A 23,336-nucleotide genomic window follows, 5' to 3' on the forward strand; every position below is an offset into this window, starting at 1 on the left:
GGATCAAACGGCAATTCTGTTTTTCATTTTGGGGGAGCTGCACCAGTTCACAGGGTTCTAATTTCTCTGTATCCTTGACAACACTTACTTTGTTTTGGTGTTTAATAGTAGCCATCCTAATGGGATATGAGGCAATATCATTGTGGTTTTAATAGACTTTATATTTTAGAGCAATTTTAGGTTTACAGCAAAATTGAGAGGGTACAGAGATTTCCCATATAGTTGTTGTCCCCACACATGCATAGTCTCCACCATTTTCAACATCTCCCACCAAAGAGGTACATTTGCAGTAATTGATGAACCTACACTGACACATCATTATCACTCAAAGTCCACAGTTTACATTAGGGTTCACTCTTGGTGTTGTACATTTTAGGGGGTTGGACATATGTACAATGACAGGTATTTATAATTATAGTATCATACAGAGTAGTTTCGCTGCCCTAAAAATCTTCTGTGCTCCAATTATTCCTCCCTCCCCTCCCCCACCCACTGCTTTTTACTGTCTCCATAGTTTTGCCTTTTCCAGAATACATCCCAGTGTCATATAGTTGGCATCATTTAATATGAAGCCTTTTCAGACTGGCTTCATTTAGTAGCATTCATTTAAGTTCCTCTGTGACTTCTTATAGCTTGATAACTCATAATTTGTCATAGCTTGATTTAAGCACTGAATAATGACTACATGCACCACAATTTATTTACCCATTTACCTACTGAAAGACATTTTGGGTTGAGTTTTGGCAATTATAGATAAAGCTGCTATAAACATCCATGTGCTGGTTTTTGTGTGGACATGTTTTCAGTTCCTTCAGGTAAATACTAAAGAGCAAGATTGCTGGATCACATGGTAAGAGCTTACCTAGTTTTTGTAAGAAACTGCTTAACTGTCTTCCAAAGTGGCTGTGCCATCTTGCGTTCCCACCAGCAAGGAATAAGAGTTCTGGTTGCTCCAACTTTCCCAGCATTTCATGCTGTCGGTGCTTTGGATTTTGGCCATTCTAATAGTTGTATAGTGGTCTGTTGTTCTAACTTGCATTTTCCTGATGACATGTTATATGGAACATCTTTTCATATGCTTATTTGCCACCTGTCTATCTTCTTTGCTGAGATATGTTAAGGGTTTTGGCCTGTTTTTAATCAGGTTGTTTTCTTACTGTTGAATTTTAAGAGTTCATTGTGGTTTTTGATTTACATTTCCCTAATTAGTGATGTTGAACATATTTTCATGTTTTTTGACCTACAGTTTTGTGTGTGTGTGTGTGTGTGTTTTTTTGAGACAGAGTCTCACTCTGTTACCTGGCTGGAGTGCAATGGCATGGTCTTGGCTCACTGCAACCTCCACCTCCTGGGTTCAAGCGATTCTCCTGCCTCAGCCTCCTGAATAGCTGGGACAACAGGTGCCCACCACCACACCCAGATAATTTTTGTATTTTTAGTAGATACGAGGTTTCACTATGTTGGCCAGGCTGTTCTCGAAATCCTGACCTCGTGATCCGCCTGCCTCGGCCTCCCAAAGTGCTGGGATTGCAAGCGTGAGCCACTGCACCTGGCCTAGTTTTGTTTTTGTTTTTGAGACAGAGTCTTGCTGTGTTGCCCAGGCTGGAGTGCAGTGGCACAGTCTCAGTTTACTGCAACCTCTGCCTCCCAGGTTCAAGTGATTCTCCTGCCTCAGCCTCCGAAGTAGCTGGGATTACAGGTATGCATCACCACGCCCAGCTAATTTTTATATTTTTAGTAGAGAAAGGGGTTTCGTCATGTTGGCCAGGCTGATCTCGAACTCCTGACCTCAAGTGATCCACCTGCCTTGGCCTCCCAAAATGCTAGGATTACAGGCATGAGCCACCACGCCTGGCCTGACCTAGTTTAAGCACACCAAAAGCTACTTTACATTTTTAAAAAGTGAATTTGATGTCTTTTGAAATCTCCTCTGTGCACTTGGGGAAGTCCCTGTCCTCTATCAACTTGAGAGGCTGGCTGCTGTGCTCACAAGCCTTCATTTACACAGCAAGCCTTCCTTTCAGGACGGCTGCAAAACGGAAGCCTAAAACAGTAGATGGTGACAGAATGGTATTGTTACCAGCAGGGAAATGGCAAGCTCGCCCCCTGGTGACAAGCTGGGGAGACAACAGAAAAAGCAAATTTTTTTTTTTTTTTGAGACGGAGTCTCACTCTATCGCCCAGGCTGGAGGGCAGTGGCGCAATCTCAGCTCACTGCAAGCTCCGCCTCCCGGGTTCAAGCAATTCTCCTGCCTCAGCCTCCCCAGTAGCTGGGACTACAGGCGCCTGCCACCACGCCCGGCTAATTTTTTGTATTTTTTAGTAGAGATGGGGTTTCCCCGTGTTAGCCAGGATGGTCATGATCTCCTGATCTCGTGATCCACCCGCCTTGGCCACCCAAAGTGCTGGGGTTACAGGCGTGAGCCACCGTGCCCGGCCACAAATGTTCTTAAAAGGCACAACCACCACAAAGAACATACTCTCTACGGTACCTGGAATCTGGAAAGAACACTAATTAACACAAACCGTAGGTCACTCAAAATTGTTCATTCACAGGGACAGTTAAAAAGGCTCAGTTCCAGGGGACAAATGTGTCACAAAGTCCTTGCTTACAAACTCCTAGCTGAAGCTGCCTTGGGAAGAATCTGCTCCCTCAGCATGATGGGCAGTGCCAGGCGACTACACTGGAGGTGCTAATTTTTAACTGCCAATGTCTCTTCTAGACGATGGCAGGCTGATGTTTCATCTTCTTCAGCAACCCTGAAGCATAACAGCCTTTAAGCTGTATGTTGCACGTCCCTCTTGATCTCTGTGAATTTACTGAAAGATGTGACTCTAAAGGCAAAACGAAGCCCACACCAATGATTATGTAAGTCAGAGGGTGGTAGTTGTGACTATTTAACTGTTCTTAGTTCTTTAAGACCTCAATTACGTAAACCAAGATACGTTCTGATTTTCAAGCCATCCTAACCAAAATAATAATGATGAAAATGATGACAGCTGATTCCTTTAGGCCCCGGGGCTGCTAATTTTTCAAACTTCCTGCTATCCTCCCTTCCCTACTACCAATCTCCAGGGCTCTCTAGTTTGCTCCTATTTTTCACAGAGTTGCCAGAGTTTGAAAACTAAGACCCCCATAAACATGGCTATCTTCACAGAACATCCAGATGAAGGAATATTGACTGTAATAAACATTGTACAGAACACCCAGATAAAGGAATATTGACTGAAATAAACATTGTAGGCTATACTCCAGTAGCTGGGGCAATGGATCCATGTAAATGGAGCTACAAATTCAAGTCCCAAGTTTTTTTGCTCCAGCAGGTTGACCTTCAAGGGCTGCATCAGTCTTCAGAAACAGGAGCTGCCAGCCTCAAGCAGTTTGTTGCCTGGGAGGGAGGGTGGACCACATTACCCAAATGTTAAGGGTTGGACACCTTTCTGCTGTTCTTTGTGTAGCTGCTGGGCTCGATTTTTTAGCACCTCGGCCTTGGCCTCATCCTTATCAACACCATCCCCCAGCTTGTACATGCGACTGGCATTGGCACAGGCCCAGATATGACCCAGGTCACAGGCTTTCATGGAGTATTTACATGCCAGGTCCATGTCCTTGGGAAAGCCTGGGGCACCCTGCAGGAACATGGCACTGAGGTTGAAGCAACTGGAAGTATAGCCACCATCACAGGCCCTTGTGTAGTAGTCCCTGGCCTTTCCCAAGTCAGGCTGGCCATCCTCATTAACCTGTCCATCATGTGCCAGGAGGCCAACGTTGTGACATGCTGCTATTGACTTCTTTCCAGGCTTCTCACACGCCATCAAAAAGCACCTGGCGGCAGCTTTCAGGTCCTGGGTCAGACCACCTGAGAGGAAGGAAAGTAGGAAAAAATAAACCCAAGCCAGGGCACAACCTAAATGTCTCAGGCCAAAGTCAGTGAATTTTTTTTTTTTTTTTGGAGAAAGGGTCTTGCTTTGTTAACCAGGCTGGAGTGCACTGGCATGATCACGGCTCACTGCAGCCTCAACCTCCGGCTAAAGCAATCTTCCCATCTCAGCCTCCCCAAGTAGCTGGGACTACAGGCACACACCAACCACTATGCCTGGCTAATTTTTAAATTTTTTTGTAGAGAAAGGATCTCACTATGTTGCCAAGGCTAGTCTTAAACTCTGGGACTCAAGCGATCCTCCCACCTTGGCCTCCCAAAGTGCTGGAATTACAGGCGTGAGCCACCACACCTGGCCAACAACAATTCCTGAATAAAGTTTAAGGCTGAGCACAGTGGCTCACACCTGTAATCCTAGCACTTTGTGCAGGATGATTGCTTGAGGCCAGGAATTCGAGATCAACCTGGGTGACAGAGCAAGACTTTACCTCAAAAAGAAAAAAAAATGTCCATACTATGAGCTCAGGCAGCATGAAAGGTAGCCTGGCATAGTGCACAGACCTCCTAGCTTTCTCAGCCGTAGAATCTTTTATTCAGATGATACCTTATGAGGAAACTCAAACAGGTAAAGGAGGTGAAAATTGGGAATGATAATAATATCTACCTCATGGGGTTACAGTGAGAACATGGCATATGACAAGCACTTAATTGTTTATTAATTTAAACATACAGTGGGCCCTCCATATCCATGGGTTCAACCAACCACACATCAAAAATATTAGGGAAAAAATAACAATACAATTAAAAAATACAAAATATATAAAATAGAACAATTATTTACTCAGTATTTACATTGTATTAGATAGTCTAAGTCAAGATTGTCCAACCCATGGGCCTGGGATGGCTTTGAAAGCGGCTTAACACAAATTCATAAACTTTCTTAAAACATTATGAAATTATTATTATTATTATTTTTTTTTTTTTGAGATGGAGTCTTGCTGTGTCGCCCAGGCTGGAGTGCAGTGGCGTGATCTTGGCTCACTGCTACCTCTGCCTCCAGGGTTCAAGCGATTCTCCTGCCTCAGCCTCCCAAAATGCTGGGATTACAGGTGCATGCCACCACGCCAGGCTAATTTTTGTGTTTTCAGTAGAGACGGGGTTTCACCACGTTGGTCAGGCTAGTCTTGAACTCCTGACCTCATGATCCGCCCGCCTCAGCCTCCCAAAATGCTGGGATTACAGGCGTGAGCCACTTCACCTGGCCTATGAGATTTTTTTTGTGATTTTTTTTTTAAGCTCATCAGCTATCATTACTGTATTTTATATATGGCCCAAGACAACTCTTCTTCCAATGTGGTCCAGGAAAGCAAAAAGATTGAATACCCCTGTTCTAAGTAATTGATTTAAAATACACAGGAGGCCAGGCGTGGTGACTCACGCCTGTAATCCCAGCACTTTGGGAGGCCGAGGTGGGCGGATCACCTGAGATCAGGAGGCTCAAGACCAGCCTGGCCAACATGGTAAAACCCCATTTCTACAAAAATACAAAAATCAGGCTGGGCGCGGTGGCTTACGCCTGTAATCCCAGCACTTTGGGAGGCTGAGGCGGGTGGATCACGAGGTCAGGAGTTCGAGACCAGCCTGGCCAACATGGTGAAACCCCATCTCTACTAAAAATACAAAAAAAATGAGCTGGGCATGGTGGCAGGGGCCTGTAATGCCAGCCACTCAGGAAGCTGAGGCAGAAGAATGGCATGAACCCCAGAAGTGGAGCTTGCAGTGAGCAGAGATCGCGCCATTGCACTCCAGCCTAGATGACAGAGCATAACTCTGTCTCAAAAAAAAAAAAAGAAAAAAAAAAAAAAGATGATTTTAAGTGTAAAAAGAGCATGGAGGAAAAGTATAGTGCAAGGCAGGCAAGCAAGCAGGGACCAGATCATGCAGGGTCACATTAAGACCCCTGAATTTAATCTTAAAAACAATGGGAAATCACTAACAAATAATTTTAAGTAGAAGTGGTGGCAGGGCTCACTTTTTTTAGTTGTTTGTGTGTGTGCAAAACTTCAAATCTCCATGTACCATTACTCAATCTCAAAAAATATAAACATTTTAACATTATTCTTTTAAGTAACCATTCCAAATCCACCTAGAAATAACCATCATTATCATTAAGTGAACACCATTCCAGTCATCTTTGTAGCATGTGTTCAGATTAAATGCTGGCTGGTTGAATGGATACTAGATAGAAGTGTTTGGAAAAATTGGATCACAAATGCTACTTGTAAGTAAAAAATTTAACTTTGATTTTACTTGAATTTATCAGAAGAAAACCAAACTGAAGTGAAACTAAGGAAACTGCTGACCTACAAATTAATATTTCTAGCCCATAGTGACATTTCCTAAATGAGCCACTAGGGCTATCAAGAGTTTAGAAAAAATATTAAAAGGTTAGAATCATTTTTATTTTCATTTATTTACATTTATTTATTTATTTATTTATTTATTTAGAGACAGAGTCTTGCTCTGTGGCCGAGGCTGGAGTGCAGTGAAGCAATCTCGGCTCACTGCAGCCTCCACCTCCCGGGCTCAAGTGAGCCACTGCACCTGGCCTAAAATTTAGTTTAAAAAATTAAAATGGGGCCAGGCACGGTGGCTCACACCTGTAATCCCAGCATTTTGGGAGGCCAAGGCGGGTGGATCGTTTGAGGTTAGTTCAAGACCAGCCTGGCTAACATGGCGAAACCCCATCTCTACTAAAAATACAAAAATTAGCTGGGTGGTAGTGGCAAACGCCCCTGTAATCCCAGCTACTCGGAAGGTTGAGGCAGGAGAATCACTTGAGCCAGGGGGTTGTGGTGAGCCGAGATCATGCCACTGCACACCAGCCTGGGCGACAGAGTGGGACCCTGTCTCGGGACCCTGTCTCAAAAAAAAAAAGACATCCTTGGCCAGGTGCAGTGGCTCACACCTTACCCTAGCACTTTGAGAGGCCAAGGTGCAAGGATTGCTTGAGGCCAGGAGTTTGAGACCAGCCTGACAACATAGTGAGATCCTGTCTCTACAAAAAATAAAAAATTAGCTAAGCATGGGGGCACGTGCCTATAGTTCCAGCCACTGGGGAGGCTGAGGCAGGAGGATTGCCTGAGCCCAGGAGCTCAAGGCTGCAGTGAGTTATGATTTTATCACTGCACTCCAGTCTGAGAAACAGAACAAGATCCTGTCACAAAAAAAAAAAAAAGCTGCCTGTCAAAGGTCCTATTACTTATTTATGTGTGTGTGTGTTTTTTTTTTTTTTTTTGTGAGACAGAGTCTTGCTCTGTTGCCCAGGCTGGAGTGCAGTGGCGCGATCTCAGCTCACTGCAACCTCTGCCTCCAGGGTTCAAGTGATTCTCCTGCCTCAGCCTCCTGAGTAGCTGGGATTACAGGTGCGCGCCACCACGCCCAGCTAATTTTTTTTTGTATTTTTAGTAGAGATGGGGTTTCACCATGTTGGTCAGGCTGGTCTTGAACTCCTGACCTCATGATCCACCCGCCTTGGCCTCCCAAAGTGCTGGGATTACAGGCATGAGCCACCGTGCCTGGCCTGTGGTGGTTTTAAATATGTCCATAAGTTCTTTAATATTCCTTCCTCTTCAAGAAGTGGAATTTAAGTCCTTCCCCTTAGTGTAGGCTACATCTAATAAATATGTGATAGAAATGAAAAGTGTGTGACTTCCAAAGATAGGTCATAGAAGACACTGTGGATTCTATCTTGTTGTCTCCTTTAAATTACTCACTCTGGGGGAACCCAGACGCCATGTCATGAGGACACTCAAGCAGCCCATGGAGCGAACCATGTCATGACGATCTGAGCTCTCCCAATAACAGCTGGTAAGGAACTAGAGGCCTCTGCTACCAGCCATCAGAGTGAGTCATCTTAGAATTGGAAACTCCAACTTCAGTCAAGCCTTCCAATGTCTCCAGCCCTGGCTCCCTGGCCAATGTCTTGACTATAACCTCATGAGATACCCTGAGGTACCCCCACTAAACCACTCCCAAATTCTTGACCCACAGAAACTATTGAGGTGAACAAAAATAACTATTTTGTTATTTAGCCATAGATAATGTAAACACTATGCCAGTGATAACTACAATTAGAGTACAAGGAGAAAAGACAGAAGGAAGACAATAATTACTGACCCCTTACTCTGTGCCAAGCACATGCTGATGCCTTTTCCTATGCTGTCCTACTTAATCCTCACCACCCTACAAAGCAAGTACTATTTCCCTCCAATTTACAGGTGATGTAACTGAGGCACAGAGTCGAAGTGATTGGCTCAAGGTCCCACTACTTGCCAATAGCATTCCCTAAGGTTTACCTAACTTGAAAGGCTGTGTTCTTCCCCCCATCACTCTGCTGAACTCCTACCTCTCCATCTTCCTACAATGCACTTTCCCAATGCCTGCGAGACCCTTCTGCAAGAGCTTATCATGGGGCTCAGGTGTGAGGCCAGCACTGCTATCAATGACAAGGACCCAAAAGGCAGGCCCTCCTTACCTTTTCCAGTCACATAGTAGGCCCCCAGTTTGTAGCAGCTATCACTGTGCTGGTTCTCTTCACAGTTAAACTTCAACACCTTGGCAGCCTCATCAAAATTCTTCCGGATCCCTTCCAAATAGTCCACCAGCCGATAGCAACCTGCGAGAAGAGGGCAAGGGTTGTTCTTCATGTCTGGGGCTGCTGCTCGCAGTGGGGACTTGGGGGTAGGGGGTGCCCAGGTGTGGCAGGCCAGGTGATGTCTTTTAAGACAGCCCCTGTCCTCCTGATGTGTGGCAAGTTGGCCTTACCACAAAGAATGTAGGTGGTGTTTAGCCATTCCTACAAATGGCATTGTCTCCCCACAGCCATGGACTGAGCAATGCATGGCTTGGGGAGACCTCAGCCCCTGCATTGGCTCTACCACTCACCAGCCCTTCTGCTCCCTGTCAGCCACGCCCAAGTATCCACTGACTTCCATGATTGAAACTTTGCTAGTTTTGGAATCTCTCATGAAGTTAAATGGTAAAAACAGTGAAAACCTAAAAGGCTCATAGGCTAGTCTTTGTAGCAGCAAGAAAAGGGTGCTGGGCCAGGCTCGGTAGCTCATGCCTGTAATCCCAGCACTTGGGGAGGCTGAGGCAGGAGGATCACTTGAGGTCTGGAGTTCGAGACCAGCCTGGACAGGGTAAAACCCTGTCTCTACTAAAAATGCAAAAAAATTAGCCAGGAGTGGAAAAATATAAAAAAATTAGCCAGGTGTGGTGGCGCACACCTGTAATCCCAGCTACCTGGGAGGCTAAGGCAGGAGAATCGCTTGAACCCAGGGGGCGGAGGTTGCGGCGGGCCGAGATCACGCCACTGCACTCCAGCCTGGGTGACAGAACGAGACTCTGTCTTAAAAAAAAAAAAAAAAAGAAAGAAAGAAAAAGAAAAGGGTGCTGTAATGACTATAGCTTACTCCTCAGCCAGGGTAGGAACATGAAAGCCAAAGAGAAAGAGTAGAGGCGGCAGCTTCTAATGAAAATAGGCTCTACTTCCTTGGCAGTCTCCCAGTCCCAGTAAACCTCTTTCCTTAATCTCTCTCCCCTCTTCTTTACCCCCAGTGACAACATATATCTCTCATTCATTTTCGTTCAACAAATATTTGAGCATCTCTATGCATCTATGTACCAGACATGGTTCTAGATGCTGAGAATATACTCATTTGCCCTCCTAAAATTTACATTCTAGGGGAGGAAATACAATAAATAAATAAATGAACAAAATTTATTCAAACAGTAATAAATGTTATAACAACTCAGAAACAGGAAGTGAAATACTGCATGTCCTCACTTATAAGTGGGAGCTAAATACTGTGTACACATGGACACAGGGAGTGTGGAATAATAGACACTGGAGATTGGGAAGGGTGGGAGGATGGTGAGGAATAAAAAATTACCTAACAGGTACAAGTGCATTATTTGGGTGATGGTTGGTTACATTAAAAGCCCAGACTTCCCCAGCAATTTGGGAGGCCGAGGCAGGCAGATCACCTGAGGTCGGGAGTTCTAGACCAGCCTGACCAACATTGAGAAACCTCGTCTCTACTAAAAATACGAAAATATTAGCCGGGCATGGTGGCGCATGCCTATAATCCCAGCTACTCGGGAGGCTGAGGCAGAGAATCACTTCAACTCGGGAGGCGGAGACTGCGGTGAGCCGAGATAGCGCCATTGCGCTCCAGCCTGGGCAACAAGAGCAAAACTCCATCTCGAAAAAAAAAAAAAAAAAAAAGCCCAGACTTCACAACCAGGCAATATATCCATGTAACAAAACTGCACTTGTACCCCTTAAATTTATACAAATAAATACATAAATGCTATGACTGAAGTAAAACAGGATAACTGTTTGCTGTCAACTTTGGGTGAATGGCTAACAAAGACTGAGCCACTGGGGAGGGGCTCACCAAGGACTGTGACCTCAATAACAAGAAAGCACTAGCTATTTAAAGACAATGAAATGGGAGTGGGGCAGGGATTTGGAAAAAATTTAAAAATAAAAAATAAAAAATGAAATTAAAAGACAATAAAATGGGCAGGGGCACAAAGTCCTGGCACAAGGAACAGTAAATACAAAGACCTGAAAGAATAAGTTTGGCACGAATAAGGTACAACATGGCTGAACCAAGGAGGAGGGTCAGGAAATGAAGAAGGAAGGTAGGGACCAGACCATAGGCCTCGTGAAACATAGGATGGAGTTATGATTTTTTCCAACTGAAACAGTAAACCACTGGAGGGTTTCAAGAAAATAAGTAATATGATTCAGGCCAGGTGTGGTGGCTCATGCCTGTAATCCCAGCACTTTGGGAGGCCAAGGCGGGTAGATCACTCGAGGTCAGGAGTTCTAGACCAGCCTGGCTAACATGGTGAAATCCCGTCTCTACTAAAAATACAAAAATTAGCCAGGCTTGGTGGCGCACGCTTGTAATTCCAGCTACTTGGGAGGCTGAGGCAGGAGAATCACTTGAACCCGGGAGGCAGAGGTTGCAGTGAGCTGATATCGTGCCACTGTACTCAAGCCTGGGCAACAGAGCAAGACTCAGCCTCAGGGAAAAAAAAAAAAAAAAAAAAAGCCAGGCGTGGTGGAACACGCCTGTAATCCCAGCTACCTGGGAGGCTGGGGCAGGAGAAGTACTTGAACCTGGGAGGCAGAGGTTGCAGTGAGCTGAGATTGCACCACTGCACTCCAGCCTGGGCGACAGAGTAATACCCTGTCTCAGAAAACAAACAACCAAAAAGCCACCAAAACCAAACAAACAACCCCACCCCCCAACAAAAACGTTACTCTGGTATATATGTTCATATATGCCTGAGTATGGAGGAATTTAATTATGTGAGGGTATATAATTGGGCATTGATAACAAATAGGTTATTTTAAAATCTAATATTTAACATAACAAAATTGAAATTAAAATATCAGTTTATCTGCGAGTAGAAATGGATTTTAAGGGAGTAAAGTGCAAAGAGAGGGACAGGTTAGAAGGCGACTTCAGTTATCCAGGTAAGAAAGTGGGACATGCAAGGAACTACTACACCAGTCGCTACGGTAACTATAGCCTCTTCTCAGGTCTCGTAAAGTGCTGCAGCCAGTCCTTTTGATATATCCACCCTTCCCAATTCCAAGAACTTGCTTCTCAGACATGTTTTGCTCTCCATTGCCTACAGAGCAAAGTCTATATTCCTTACCCTGGCATTCAAGCCCTGACATACTGTGGGCCAGACTCCCGCTTCAAACGTACTAAATCCTGACTTCAACCTTCCAAAAGATAGCACTTTCTTCTCCCACCCTCTCCTCCATTTAATCAACACTTGCCCAGCCCTCCAGACCTCCCCTCAAAGTCTTCCCTAACCACCCTGTTCCTTAGTGACCCCAATTCCTCTAAGTTCTTTCTATACTTAGGACATGGACCAGCTCTCAAAGAACAACCCCAGGTTCTTTTTTTTGAGACGTTGTTTCACTCTTGTTGCCCAGGCTGGAGTGTGATGGCGCGATCTCAGCTCACTGCAACCTCCGCCTCCCAGGTTCAAGCCATTCTCCTGTCTCAGCCTCCCGAGTAGCTGGGATTACAGGCGCATGCCACCACGTCCGGCTAATTTTTGTATTTTTAGTAGAGACAGTTTAATCATATTGGTCAGGCTGGTCTTGAACTCCTGTCCTCAGGTGATCTGCCCACCTCAGCCTCCCAAAGTGCTGGGATTACAGGCGTGAGCCACTGTGCCCGGCCCAACCCCAGGTTCTTTTCAAGCCATCATACTGCAGAGCAACTCTGTGTCATGACTATGTTATGATATGTATATGGTTGTGTTATGGTCTATGTTACGGATTAGCCTCAAGGAATAGCTATGTCATTTCTGCAAACTAAACTGACTAAACTGCAAGCTATTAGAAGGTAGGGCCAGTGCCACTTTTTTTCTTTTCTTTTTTTTTTTAGTAGTGACAGGGTTTCATCATATTGCCCAGGCTGGTCTTGAACTCCTGGCCTCAAGTGATCCTCCCACCTCACCTCAGCCTCCCAAAGAGCTAGGATTACAGGCTTGTGCCACCACACCAGTCCTTTATTTGAAAGAAAAAAAAAAAAAAGGCTGGGCACGGTGGCTCACACCTGTAATCCCAGCACTTTGGGAGGCCAAGGCAGATGGATTGCTTGAGGTCAGGAGTTCGAGACCAGCCTGGCCAACATGGTGAAACCCTGTCTCTACGAAAATACAAAAATTAGCCAGGCCTGGTGGTGGGTGCCTGTAATCCCAGCTACTCGGGAGGCTGAGGCAGGAGAATTGCTTTAACCCAGGAGGCAAAGGTTGCAGTGAGCTGAGATCGAGCCATTGTACTCCAGCCTGGGTGACAGAGTGAGACTCAGTCTCAAAAAAACAAAAAAATTAAAAAGTAGGCAGTGTGCAGTGGTTCATGCCTGTAATCAAAGGCGGGAGGATCACTTGAGCCCAGGAGTTGCGACCAGCCTGGACAACGTAGTGACATACTATCTCAAAAAAGAAAGAAAATACAAAAAATAAAAATAAAGCAAGAAGAAGAAAACCACCCAAAGGTATTAGCTGCTCTGGGTGGACCCCTCTGGTCACCACCATCCACCTATACTCTTAAGTCAATTCAATGTTCACACAACACACAGGACACATTTGTGATTCAGGGCGTCTTCGCCAGCTGTTACCTATGGTAAGAACTGCATGGTTCACTCCCTTACCTTCTTCAAGGCTTTATTCAATTGCCACTTTCTCAGTGATCTTCCCTGATCACTCAATTTAAAACTGCCCTCCTGCCCTCCTGACACCCTTCACCCAGTCTTTTTTCCACGGCACTTACTACTTTCTTTTTATTTATTTTTTTTGAGACGGAGTCTCGCTCTGTCGCCCAGGCTGGAGTGCAGTGGCGCGATCTCTGCTCACTGCAAGCTCCGCCTCCCGGGTTCACACCACTCTCCTGCCTCAGCCTCCCGAGTAGCTGGGAATACAGGCGCCTGCCACCACGCCCGGCTAATTTTTTGTATTTTTAGTAGAGACAGGGTTTCACCGTGTTAGCCAGGATGGTTTCGATCTCCTGACCTCGTGATCCACCCGCCTCAGCCTCCCAAAGTGCTGGGATTATAGGCGTGAGCCACGGCTCCCGGCCGGTACTTACTACTTTCGAACACGATTTCATGAATTACCTGAGGCTTATTGCCCGACTCCCCGCACTAGCTTGGAAGCTCCACGAGGGCAGGGAGTTTCATCTGTTCACCGATGGATCCCCAGTCCCTAACCCAAAAGCCCCAGCACGTCTCTTCCTACCCGCCCCGGCCTCCTGGCTCGGTCTTCCCGGGACACATCGCCCTTCCCAACACACGCGGTCACCGCGATCCACAGACCCCGTCCCCCGCCCGCCACGTGATTCCTTCTCCAGCCTCTCAGAGGTCGCAGACCAGACCTCTCCGGGCACGTCCCTCCCCGACGCGTCGCCGGGCTGCGCTGGAGCCGCTCACCGTCCGGGTCCTTCTCGTGGTAGCAGTGGTAGTTGCACTCCACCTCCATGTTCTCCAAAAAGGACTTGACCTGCTCCTCATCCTGGAAGTCCACCATGCCGGCCATGGTTCGCGCCGGCCCAAAGACGGTCACGTGAGCCGGCGGAGGGGGCGGGGCGGGGCGTGGGGCTGACGCCGACGCCAACCGCGGCGCTCTCCCGGGATCCCGGGGCGAGCCAAGCGAGCCTGTGCTTCCCAGCAGCCATCGCGCCGTTAAGGGCGCTGGCAGCCACGCTTCCAGGGCTACCGCCTTCCTGAAACTGGGGGCTGTCTCTCTGCAGCACCTTACCTATGCTCGCTTTGTAGCCTTAGTGATTTTCCACCTGCAGTCATTTATCTATGTATAATCCCTAAGCGCCTACTGTGTGCCTCACCAGTGCATTGTTCTAGGGATATGACAGCTAGGAATATGGTCCCTGCCTTCAAAGAACTTGGAGTTCAATAGGAAGACATTCGCTTATCCATTCAGCAAGCATTTAGAGGAGCTTCTATATGTGCCAGGTGTAGCTGGACAAAGTGCAGTGAGCAGTCTGATTCATCTGTCTTCTTCCCAGACCTGTCTTGGCCACCAACATGAATTACCTAAGCAATGAATGGCTATGGGAGATGTTGACTGGCACACAGTAGCAGTGAAGGGTGTAGCAACGTCACTGTTATAACACCTAGTACTCAAACAGTGCTGAACTTTGTTCCAGGCTCTAAATGCTTTATATGAATTAACTCATTTAATTCTCATTATATATCATGTCACTGTAAAAACACTCACAGTGACACTGTGGGTAGGTATTATTATTATCCCCATTCTACAGATAAGAAAACTAAAGTACAGAGAAATTAAGTAGTTTGTCCAAGGTCACACAGTAAGTGAGGGAGTTGGTATGCAATAATAATTTTTTTTAAAAAAATAAAAGAATGAATGAGGCCGGGCGCGGTGGTTCACGCCTGTAATCCCAGCACTTTGGGAGGCCGAGGTGGGTGGATCACCTGAGGTCAAGAGTTCGAGACCAGCCTGGCCAACCTGGTGAAACTCTGTCTCTACTAACAATACAAAATTAGCAGGGGTCTCTACTAAAAATACAAAATTACAGGGAGCACACCTGTAATCCTAGCTCTTTGGGAGGCTCAGGCAGGAGAATTGCTTTAACCTGGGAGGTGGAGGTTGCAGTGAGCCGAAATTGTGCCATTGCATTCCAGCCTGGGCGACAAGAGCGAAAAAGAATGAATGAGGTAGAAAAGGAACATGTCAAGGAGATGGGGAGGAGGAGAGGAAATTTACCTACATTTTGCTTTGTTTTCCTGCTCCTGTTCCTGCTAAGAATCATCAGTTCCATAAAGCTTAGATGGAAAGTTCTCCTAAGACAGCCACTTCCTATTCGTCTTTTTTTTTTTTTTTTTTGAGACGGAGTTTCGTTCTTGTTGCCCAGGCTGAAGTGCAATAGCGCGGTCTCAGCTTACTGCAACCTCCGCCTCCCAGGTTCAAGCGATTCTCTTGCCTCAGCCTCCCGAGTAGCTGGGCTTACAGGTGCCCACCACCACGCCCGGCTAATTTTTTTTGTATTTTTAGTAGAGACAGGGTTTCACTATATTGGCCAGGCTGGTCTTGAACTCCTGACCTCAGGTGGTCCGCTGGCCTCGGCCTCCCAAAGTGCTGGGATTACAGGCGTGAGCCACCACACCCGGCTGACTTCCCATTCATCTTTGAATTCCATCCAGCCCTACTTTTGAATTCTCAATGGAGCTAAATCCATGGCTTCCCATCGCCTATAACAATGCTTTCCAAATGGCTCCATTATTAAGCTATCCCCAATGGCAGCAAAGAATGGACTATTTCCAACCACTTATTTATTGGAAGGCAGCCAATAATGTCTGAAATCCCAGTTTTATTTTTTAAATTCATAGGATTTTACATTCATTTCCCCATAATACATCTTTCATAGGATAACAGAAGATTGCCTTTTCTCCCCCAAGCCTTTGAGTAAAATTGACATTCCAGGCAATATACCACATTTACCTGTGGTTTCTTATACCCTGATCACCTTAGGGGACTCCTCAGTACACATGGCCCAGGATGGGAATCCTTGAACTTTGGTTTGAGGTCATCTTCTTTAGGATGGCCTTCAAGACCCTGTGCAATCTGATTCTAGCCTTATTTTCTGCCTCTCTTCCCCCACATCCCACCAACCTTCTGTTCTCTGAATAGATCCCAAGTTTGTGTCCCTGTTTACCTCTGCTCTTGATGCCTGGACCACCCTTTTTGACACAAATCGGAAATACTCTCCTATGTAAAGTCTTCCCAGACACAACAATTACACACATTCAAATTAGATTTAGATGCTCCCATTTTGGTGTTCCACACCACTTGGTTTATTCTGGTATAGTGTAGTAGGAAAGAAAGAACTGGCTTTGGAGTGGGGACAGATCTTAGTTCAGAATCCATGTTCCATGTTTATTAAATTGTAACCTTAAACCAATCATGTTTGTGAGTCTGAATCCTCTTCTGTAAATGCAGATCCATTTGTAATGGCTGTCAGAAGGACTACAAGTTCATGTATGCAATGTGCTTGGCAGAGCGCCTGGCTCAAAGTCATTCCTGTTCCAGGAATGTTTCTTGTCATGCCAATAATGGCATGAAAGTCTGTGTTCCCCACCAGACTGTGACCTCTGTGTCCTGTATGCTGGTCACAGGGCCAAGAATAGAATAGGGCTTGATGATAGAATAGAGCAGGGTGATGTCGATTACTAAAATCTGGGAATGTTTCCCTTTATTTTCTGAGTTGAACTGCATTGAAATGAGATCACCTGAGCGGTAGAGGGCACAAGAGAGTTAGTTGGTGATGAGAGGCTCAACCAAGTAAGAGGTCACTTTTTTTTGTTTTGCTCTTTCATCCAGGCTAGAGTGCAGTGGCGTGATTTTGGCTCACCGCAACCTCCGCCTTACGGTTTCAAGCAATTCTCCTGCCTCAGCCTCCTGAATAGCTGGGATTACAGGCGCCCACCACAATGCCCGCCTAATTTTTGTATTTTTAGTAGAGATGGGGTTTCACCATATCGGCCAGGCTGGTCTCGAACTCCTGACCTCGTGATCCGTTTGAACTAACTGTTGCCTCTGCCCTAGAGTGCTTTTCCCCTGTATTTTTTTTTTTTTTTTGGCTTGCCTTCTTAAGTTCTCTGCTTCAATTTGACATCGTCCATGTGGTCTTAGCTCATTCTTGTTATAATAACAGTGTCTTGATTGTGCCCAGCAATATTAGGTGCCCAAGTATTGTTGACTGAATTAAGAAGAGGGATTATCATTCCAAATAATTTGGTTTTCATTAATGGAACTTAGAATATCACTGACTCTTGCTCTTTTGACCCAGGTTTTTCTTAAAGCTATAAGAAACATTAAATGAAGGTCTAATTGACATACAGGAAACTGCACATAACTTTAAAGTAACAATTATGAGTTTCTACATATGTATACACCTGTAAACCATTATCACAATCAAGATAATGAGCATATTCATCACCTCAAAATTTCCTCATGTGACTTTGTACTTCATTCCCTCCCCAGCAACCATTAATCTGCTTTCTGTCACTGAAGATGGGTTGCATTTTGTAGGATATTATCTAAATAGAATGATACAGTAAGTACTGTTTCTTTTTGTATAGTTTCTTCGATTCAGCATAATTATTTTGAGATTCATCCATGTTACCACACGTATTAATAGTTCATTCTTTTTCTTAGTGAATGACATTTCATGATGTAGATATATCACAATTTGTTTATCCATTTGGGTTTCCAGTTTTTGGCTTACAAATAAAGCTGCTGTGAATATTTGTGTACGTGTCTTTGTATGGGCATTCATTTCCATTTTTGGGGTTCATACCTAGGAGTGGAATGGCTAGATCATATGGTAGGTATATATCTAACTTTAAGAAACACCCAAACTGTTTTCTAAAGTGATTCTACCATTACATTCTTACCAGCAGTGTTTGACAGTTCTAGTTGCCCTACATCCTCACCATAATTTGATGTGTGGTCAGTCTTTTAAAATTTTAGCCATTATAGTGAATATAACAGTATCTTATCATAGGTTTAGTTTGTATTTTTTTGAGTGACCAATAATGTTGGCATCTTTTCATGTGCTTATCTGCCATCTGTGTATCTTTGATGACATGTTTGTTAAAATCTTTCGCCCCCTTTTTATTGGATTGTTTTTTATTATTGCATTCTAAGAGTTATTTATATATTCAAGTCCGTTATCAGAAGTTTTGCATATATTTTCTCCCAGTTTGGCCTGCCTTTTTTGTTTTTATAACAGTGTCTTTCAAAACCAAAAGTTTTTCATTTTAATGGTGTGTCTAGTTTATTGATTTTTTTCCTCTTGTTAATAGTTTGTGCTTTTTCTTTCGTATTCAAGAAGTCTTTGCCAAACCCAAAGTCACTAAGATTTTATCCTATATTTTCTTGTAGAAATTTTATGGTTTAAATCTTATATTTAGAAAGCCTATGATCCATTTCAGATTAATTTTTGTATGAGGTATGAGATAACAGTTGAGGTTCACTTTATTGCATGTGGGTTTATAATTACTCTAGCACCATTTGTTAGAAAGATTATCCATTCTCGGCCTCCCAACGCGTTGGGATTACAGGCGTGAGCCACCGCTCCAGGCCTCGGGATAGGTCTTAATACCTCCTTTTTATAAAGGAGGTCCAGATAAGTAAAGTGATTTCCACCAGGTCACACAGCCCGCTAAACCTCTCCCAAAGGGTTACACGTTGGTAAAGGAGCCGCCCCGTGAGAGAGACCGGACCAATCACGTTTGCTGTGAGGTCACTTTGGAGGCCTGAGATTGGTGCTCGTGTCTAAACGGACCCGATCTTTCTGAGTGGCTGGTGCAGCTGAGGGAGGTTCCAGGTGGCTTGCTCGGGGGCTGCCCAGCTCGCCGTCCTCTGCAGATCCCCTCGGGACTCTCAGCATTTTGTGGGTTAGCCGTGGAGACGCCCTGCCCTTCCTGCTTTGGCCAGTCAACCCCCTCAAGCCCGTGCCCGTAGAGCCTGCAGCCCTTCCTCACCTCATCACTCCCCATCCCCCCAAGATATAGAAAGGCCGTGACAGCTGCCAGCCCTGCACATGCTCTTGTTTCAACAGCGGCGATTGCACATCACGTAGTCCCCACGTGACCTGTCGGGCCTAGGGCAAGCGCAAAGCTTTCGGAAACCCGAATTATTGCAACCTTGACTTCCTGCCTGTCTCTGAGGCTCCCGGGCTGTGCTTTAAGCTGGACAGGCACCTGCTTTACAGGGAAAAGGACCAAGGTCCGGAGAGGAAAGGGGCTTGTCCCAGGATACGCAGCAAGTTAGTGACAGCGTCATACTCTTCCCTCTGGGCAGGCACCTGTAGTCCCAGCTACTTGCGAGGCTGAGGCAGGAGAATTGCTTGACCCCAAGAGGCAGAGGTTGCAGTAAGAAGAGATCACACCACTGCACTCCAGCCTGGGTGACAGAGTGAGATTCTCTCTCAAAAAAAAGGGCCAGGAGGCCGGTGTGGTAGCTCACACCTATAATCCCAGCACTTTGGGAAGCTGAGGTGGATAGATCACCTGAGGTCAGGAGTTCGAGACCAGCCTGGCCAACATGGTGAAACCCTGTCTCTACCAAAAATACAAAAATTAGCTGGGCATGGTGGCGGGTGCATGTAATCCCAGCTACGTGAGAGGCTGAGGCAGGAGAATCACTTGAACTGGGGAGGCAGAGGTTGCAGTGAGTTGAGATCGTGCCATTGTACTCCAGCCTGGGCAACAAGAATGAAACTCCATCTCAAAAAAGACAAAGAATAAAATTAAATTAAATTTTAAAAAGGCCGGGCATAATGGCTCATGCCTGTAATCCCAGCACTTTGGGAGGCCGAGGCAGGTGGATCATGAGGTCAGGAGTTAAAGATCAGCCTGGCCAAGATGGTGAAACCCCGTCTCTACTAAAAATACAAAAAAATTTGCTGGGCGTGGTGGCATGTGCCTGTAATCCCAGCTACTTGGGAGGCTGAGGCAGAGAATCACTTGAAACCGGGAGGCAGAGGTTGCAGTGAGCCAAGATCGTGCCACTGCACTCCAGCCTGGGCGACAGAGTGAGACTCCATCTCAAAAAATAAAAAATAAAAATAAAAAAAGACATTTGCTGGAAATAAGCACTGGAATAGAGGTTTCAATACTAATTACTGTTCTGCCACTTCCATAGTGTTTGTTCAGCTTTGGCTAAATCCATTCTCTTTTATTCTCTTTTTATATCCTCAGTCTTCTCATCTGTAAAATGGGACTCCCAATCTCTACCCCACCTTGATGCTGGGAAAAGACAAACCAACCTCAATACCGAAGTTTAAAGGGTGTTTTACATAACCATGAAAATGTTGTCTTGGCCAGGTGCTGTGGCTCATGCCTGTAATTTCAGCACTTTGGGAGGACAAGGTGAGAGGATCCCTTGAGCCTAGGAGTTTAAGACCAGCCTGGGTAACATAAAGAGACCCCGTCTCTACAAAAAATAAAAACATTAGCCAGGTGTGGCAGCATGTGCTTGTAGTCTTAGCTACTTGGGAGGCTGAGGCGGAAGGACTGATTGTGCCCAGGAATTTGAGACTTCAGTGAGCCATGATTTTGCCACTGCACTCCAGGTGGGATGACAGAGTGAGACCCTGTCTCAGAAAAAAAAAAAATTACCTCTCAAGAAGAACTGCTGAAAGCAGTGAAGGAAATAAGGTTTGTATATCTCTTTGCAAACCTTAAAACACTGTAAAAATTAGGTAGCACACTATTTCTAATGAGATAACTTTTTTTCGGGGGGGGGGGGGGGGCGGAGTTTTGCTCTTGTTGCCCAGGCTGGAGTGCAATGGCGCGATCTTGACACACTGCAACCTCTGCCTCCTGGGTTCAAGTGATTCTCCTGCCTCAGCCTCCTGAGTAGCTGGGATTACAGGCATGCGCCACCACACCGGCTAATTTTGTATTTTTAGTAGAGACAGGGTTTCTCTATGTTGGTCAGGCTGGTCTCAAACTCCTGACCTCAGGTGATCCACCCGCCTTGGCCTCCCAAAGTGCTGAGATTGCAGGTGTGAGCCTCCGCGCCTGGCCCTAATGAGATAACTTATAGAACATTGTATGACTTACAAAGGCTGGACCTCAGACTACACTTTGAGTACCCAAGAACTAAATCCTTGCTACTCAAAGTGTGGCTTGAGGAACAGCAGCATCCATATCATTTGAGATCCTAGTAGACATGGAGAACCTTGGGACCCCCACCACACCTACTGAACCAAAATATGCATTTTAAAAGTTATTATTATTTTCTTGAGATGGAGTTTTGCTCTTCTCACCTAGGCTGGAGTGCAATGGCACAATCTTGGCTTACTGCAACCTCCGCCTCCCAGGTTCAAGTGATTCTCCTGCCTCAGCCTCCTGAGTAGCTGGGATTACAGGCATGTGCCACCACGCCCAGCTAATTTTTGTATTTTTAGTAGGGACAGAGTTTCACCATGTTGGCCAGGGTGGTCTCAAACTCCTGATCTCAGGTGATCCACTTGCCTTGGGCTCCCAAACTGCTGGGATTACAGGTATAAGCCACCGCACCCGGCCTAAAATTATTATTATTTTTAGAGACTGGGGTCTCATTATGTTGCCCAGGCTGGGCTCAAGCAATCCTCCCACCTCAGCTTCCCAAATAGCTGGGACTACAGGTGTGAGCCACACTGCCTGGCCAGAATATGCATTTTACTGAGATCCCCAGGTGACACAGATACACAATAAACTTTAAGAAGCAATGCTGTAAATCACAGGATACATGCACTGGAATGATTTTGAAAATAATCTTCAACTCCCTCATTTTACAGGTGAGCGCACTGAGCCCAGGAATGAAAGGGACTTGTCTTTCTAAAAGAGCTGTGTCACCCCCATTTGGAAACCAAAGGCTCCACAATGCCCGCATCCTTAGCTCAGCATTCCAGGCCCTCCCATCTGGCCCCCGCCAACCACTCCACTTGCTACTTCCCCACCTATACTAGACAAACCAATCCCTCTGACCCACTCCTCTTCTCTGAACTCCTCAGGCTGTTTTGTCTGTGTGGGCTGCTCTTTCCACGTCTCTCCAGTGTCAGTTCAAACTATGTTGCCCGACCACCAGTCCTTGTCTAGGATGCCTTCCTAACCCCTACTGGTTGACAGTGGGCTGTGGTTAGCCAGCTGAGGGCTCCTCCACTTCCTGAAGCACTGTGGTCATCGCCTGTTTTACCAGACTGGGAGCACCTTAAGGATAGGAACCAAATATGATTTCTTTATTTGCCTTCCAGGTCCCAACACAGAGTGAAGCACTTTGTAAGTGCTCCGTTTATGCTATGTGGTTAATAACTTATAACAATGCCTCCAGATCTAATTTTTTTTTTCTTTTTTTTTGAGATGGAGTCTCATTCTGGCCCCCAGCCTGGAGTGCAGTGGCGCGATCTCGGCTCACTGCAACCTCCACCTCCTGGGTTCAAGCAGTTCTCTACCTCAGCCTCCTGAGTAGCTGGGATTACAGACACCCACCACCACGCCCGGCTAATTTTTTTGTATTTTTTTTTAGTAGAGAGGGGGGTTTCACCATCTTGGCCAGGCTGGTCTTGAACTCCTGACCTCACGATCCACCTGCATCAGCCTCCCAAAGTGCTGGGATTACAGGCATGAGCCCCCGCGCCCGGCCAACTTTCTGCTTTTAAGACTATGAAATCCCAAAGAGTAGGGACCTGATATTCTCTGCCTGCTCCATCTCATTCATGAGACTCACGTGCCAGAGCACAACGGGCATGTGTTCACCACCTAAGCTGGCTGGCTCGGCTTCTGATTATAGCCATTCCCATAATGTGTGTGTGGACCCAGCTCACTGCAGCATGCTCATGGAAATCCAAATGAGGAAGAAGGGTTGCAACACCAAGGACAAGGAAGGGATCAGGTTTTAGGACAAATCATCTCAAGTCAGGGGTGAGATTTACTGCCTTCTAAAAAAAGCTCACAAGATTTCAGGCTGTGACCCCAAAAGTCTATTCCTGAGCCCTCCTGCCTGCACATAAAAACTGACACAGTGAGGTGCTCAGCCCATGTTGTTGAGTGAAAAAACTAATCTGGACTTCTAAATGTAACCAAATACTGACTGTCAGAAAAAAGCAGTTGTGCCAGTAGAGAACTGGAACTAAATGTCACATGGCATTAAAGTCTACGCCCCTAACCTTTGGCCACAAACCTTGCTATCCGCCCCAGCCTGCCTTTCCAGCTTGTTCTCTTCCCTCCCATACACACTCTTTGAACCTCATCCCAAATTATTTGTTGACCCTATAAACATCACCTGCTTTCACGTTCCAGTGCCTTCACACATGTGATTCCC

The 23,336-nt window shown here is 45.8% G+C and overlaps 1 protein-coding gene across 1 annotated transcript, besides 7 other annotated features; it reads right to left on the bottom strand.

Moving 5' to 3' along the window:
* Window positions 1-140: 140 nt before the first annotated feature.
* Window positions 141-14,039, bottom strand: COA7 (cytochrome c oxidase assembly factor 7). Its single transcript, NM_023077.3, has 3 exons — window positions 13,913-14,039; window positions 8,419-8,559; window positions 141-3,860 (listed from the first exon to the last, which is right to left on the bottom strand). Exons 1-3 carry the CDS (start codon window positions 14,016-14,018, stop codon window positions 3,412-3,414), a joined length of 696 nt encoding a protein of 231 aa, NP_075565.2. The 5' UTR covers window positions 14,019-14,039; the 3' UTR covers window positions 141-3,411.
* Window positions 3,655-3,855: a silencer, noted in NCBI's record as "peak230 fragment used in MPRA reporter construct". NCBI's record gives its function as "represses an SCP1 promoter by STARR-seq MPRAs in K562 erythroleukemia cells {active_cell/tissue: K562}" and the evidence as "EXISTENCE:reporter gene assay evidence [ECO:0000049][PMID:32103011]".
* Window positions 14,019-14,158: a silencer, noted in NCBI's record as "silent region_897". NCBI's record gives its function as "represses an Ori minimal core promoter by ATAC-STARR-seq in GM12878 lymphoblastoid cells {active_cell/tissue: GM12878}" and the evidence as "EXISTENCE:reporter gene assay evidence [ECO:0000049][PMID:35858748]".
* Window positions 14,209-14,268: an enhancer, noted in NCBI's record as "active region_1036". NCBI's record gives its function as "activates an Ori minimal core promoter by ATAC-STARR-seq in GM12878 lymphoblastoid cells {active_cell/tissue: GM12878}" and the evidence as "EXISTENCE:reporter gene assay evidence [ECO:0000049][PMID:35858748]".
* Window positions 18,570-19,111: an enhancer, noted in NCBI's record as "OCT4-H3K27ac-H3K4me1 hESC enhancer chr1:53168550-53169091 (GRCh37/hg19 assembly coordinates)". NCBI's record gives its function as "activates a minimal SCP1, AML or CMV promoter by ChIP-STARR-seq in naive H9 embryonic stem cells {active_cell/tissue: H9 hESC(naive)}" and the evidence as "EXISTENCE:reporter gene assay evidence [ECO:0000049][PMID:30033119]".
* Window positions 18,570-19,117: a biological region, named in NCBI's record as "OCT4-H3K27ac-H3K4me1 hESC enhancer GRCh37_chr1:53168550-53169091".
* Window positions 18,818-19,117: an enhancer, noted in NCBI's record as "active region_1037". NCBI's record gives its function as "activates an Ori minimal core promoter by ATAC-STARR-seq in GM12878 lymphoblastoid cells {active_cell/tissue: GM12878}" and the evidence as "EXISTENCE:reporter gene assay evidence [ECO:0000049][PMID:35858748]".
* Window positions 19,112-19,652: an enhancer, noted in NCBI's record as "OCT4-H3K27ac-H3K4me1 hESC enhancer chr1:53169092-53169632 (GRCh37/hg19 assembly coordinates)". NCBI's record gives its function as "activates a minimal SCP1, AML or CMV promoter by ChIP-STARR-seq in naive H9 embryonic stem cells {active_cell/tissue: H9 hESC(naive)}" and the evidence as "EXISTENCE:reporter gene assay evidence [ECO:0000049][PMID:30033119]".

The sequence above is a fragment of the Homo sapiens genome, chromosome 1 (genome assembly GCF_000001405.40).
Source record: "Homo sapiens chromosome 1, GRCh38.p14 Primary Assembly".
In the NCBI taxonomy this organism is placed as follows: Eukaryota; Metazoa; Chordata; class Mammalia; order Primates; family Hominidae; genus Homo; species Homo sapiens.

Bases quoted from the DNA above. Each gene is read 5' to 3' on its own strand.
- COA7 (NM_023077.3), bottom strand. From the start codon at position 14,018: ATGGCCGGCATGGTGGACTTCCAGGATGAGGAGCAGGTCAAGTCCTTT. The intron at 8,560-13,912 runs GTGAGCGGCTCC...CTCTTCTCGCAG, and splicing joins CCACGAGAAGGACCCGGACG to GTTGCTATCGGCTGGTGGAC. The intron at 3,861-8,418 runs GTAAGGAGGGCC...CCTTCCTCTCAG, and splicing joins CTACTATGTGACTGGAAAAG to GTGGTCTGACCCAGGACCTG.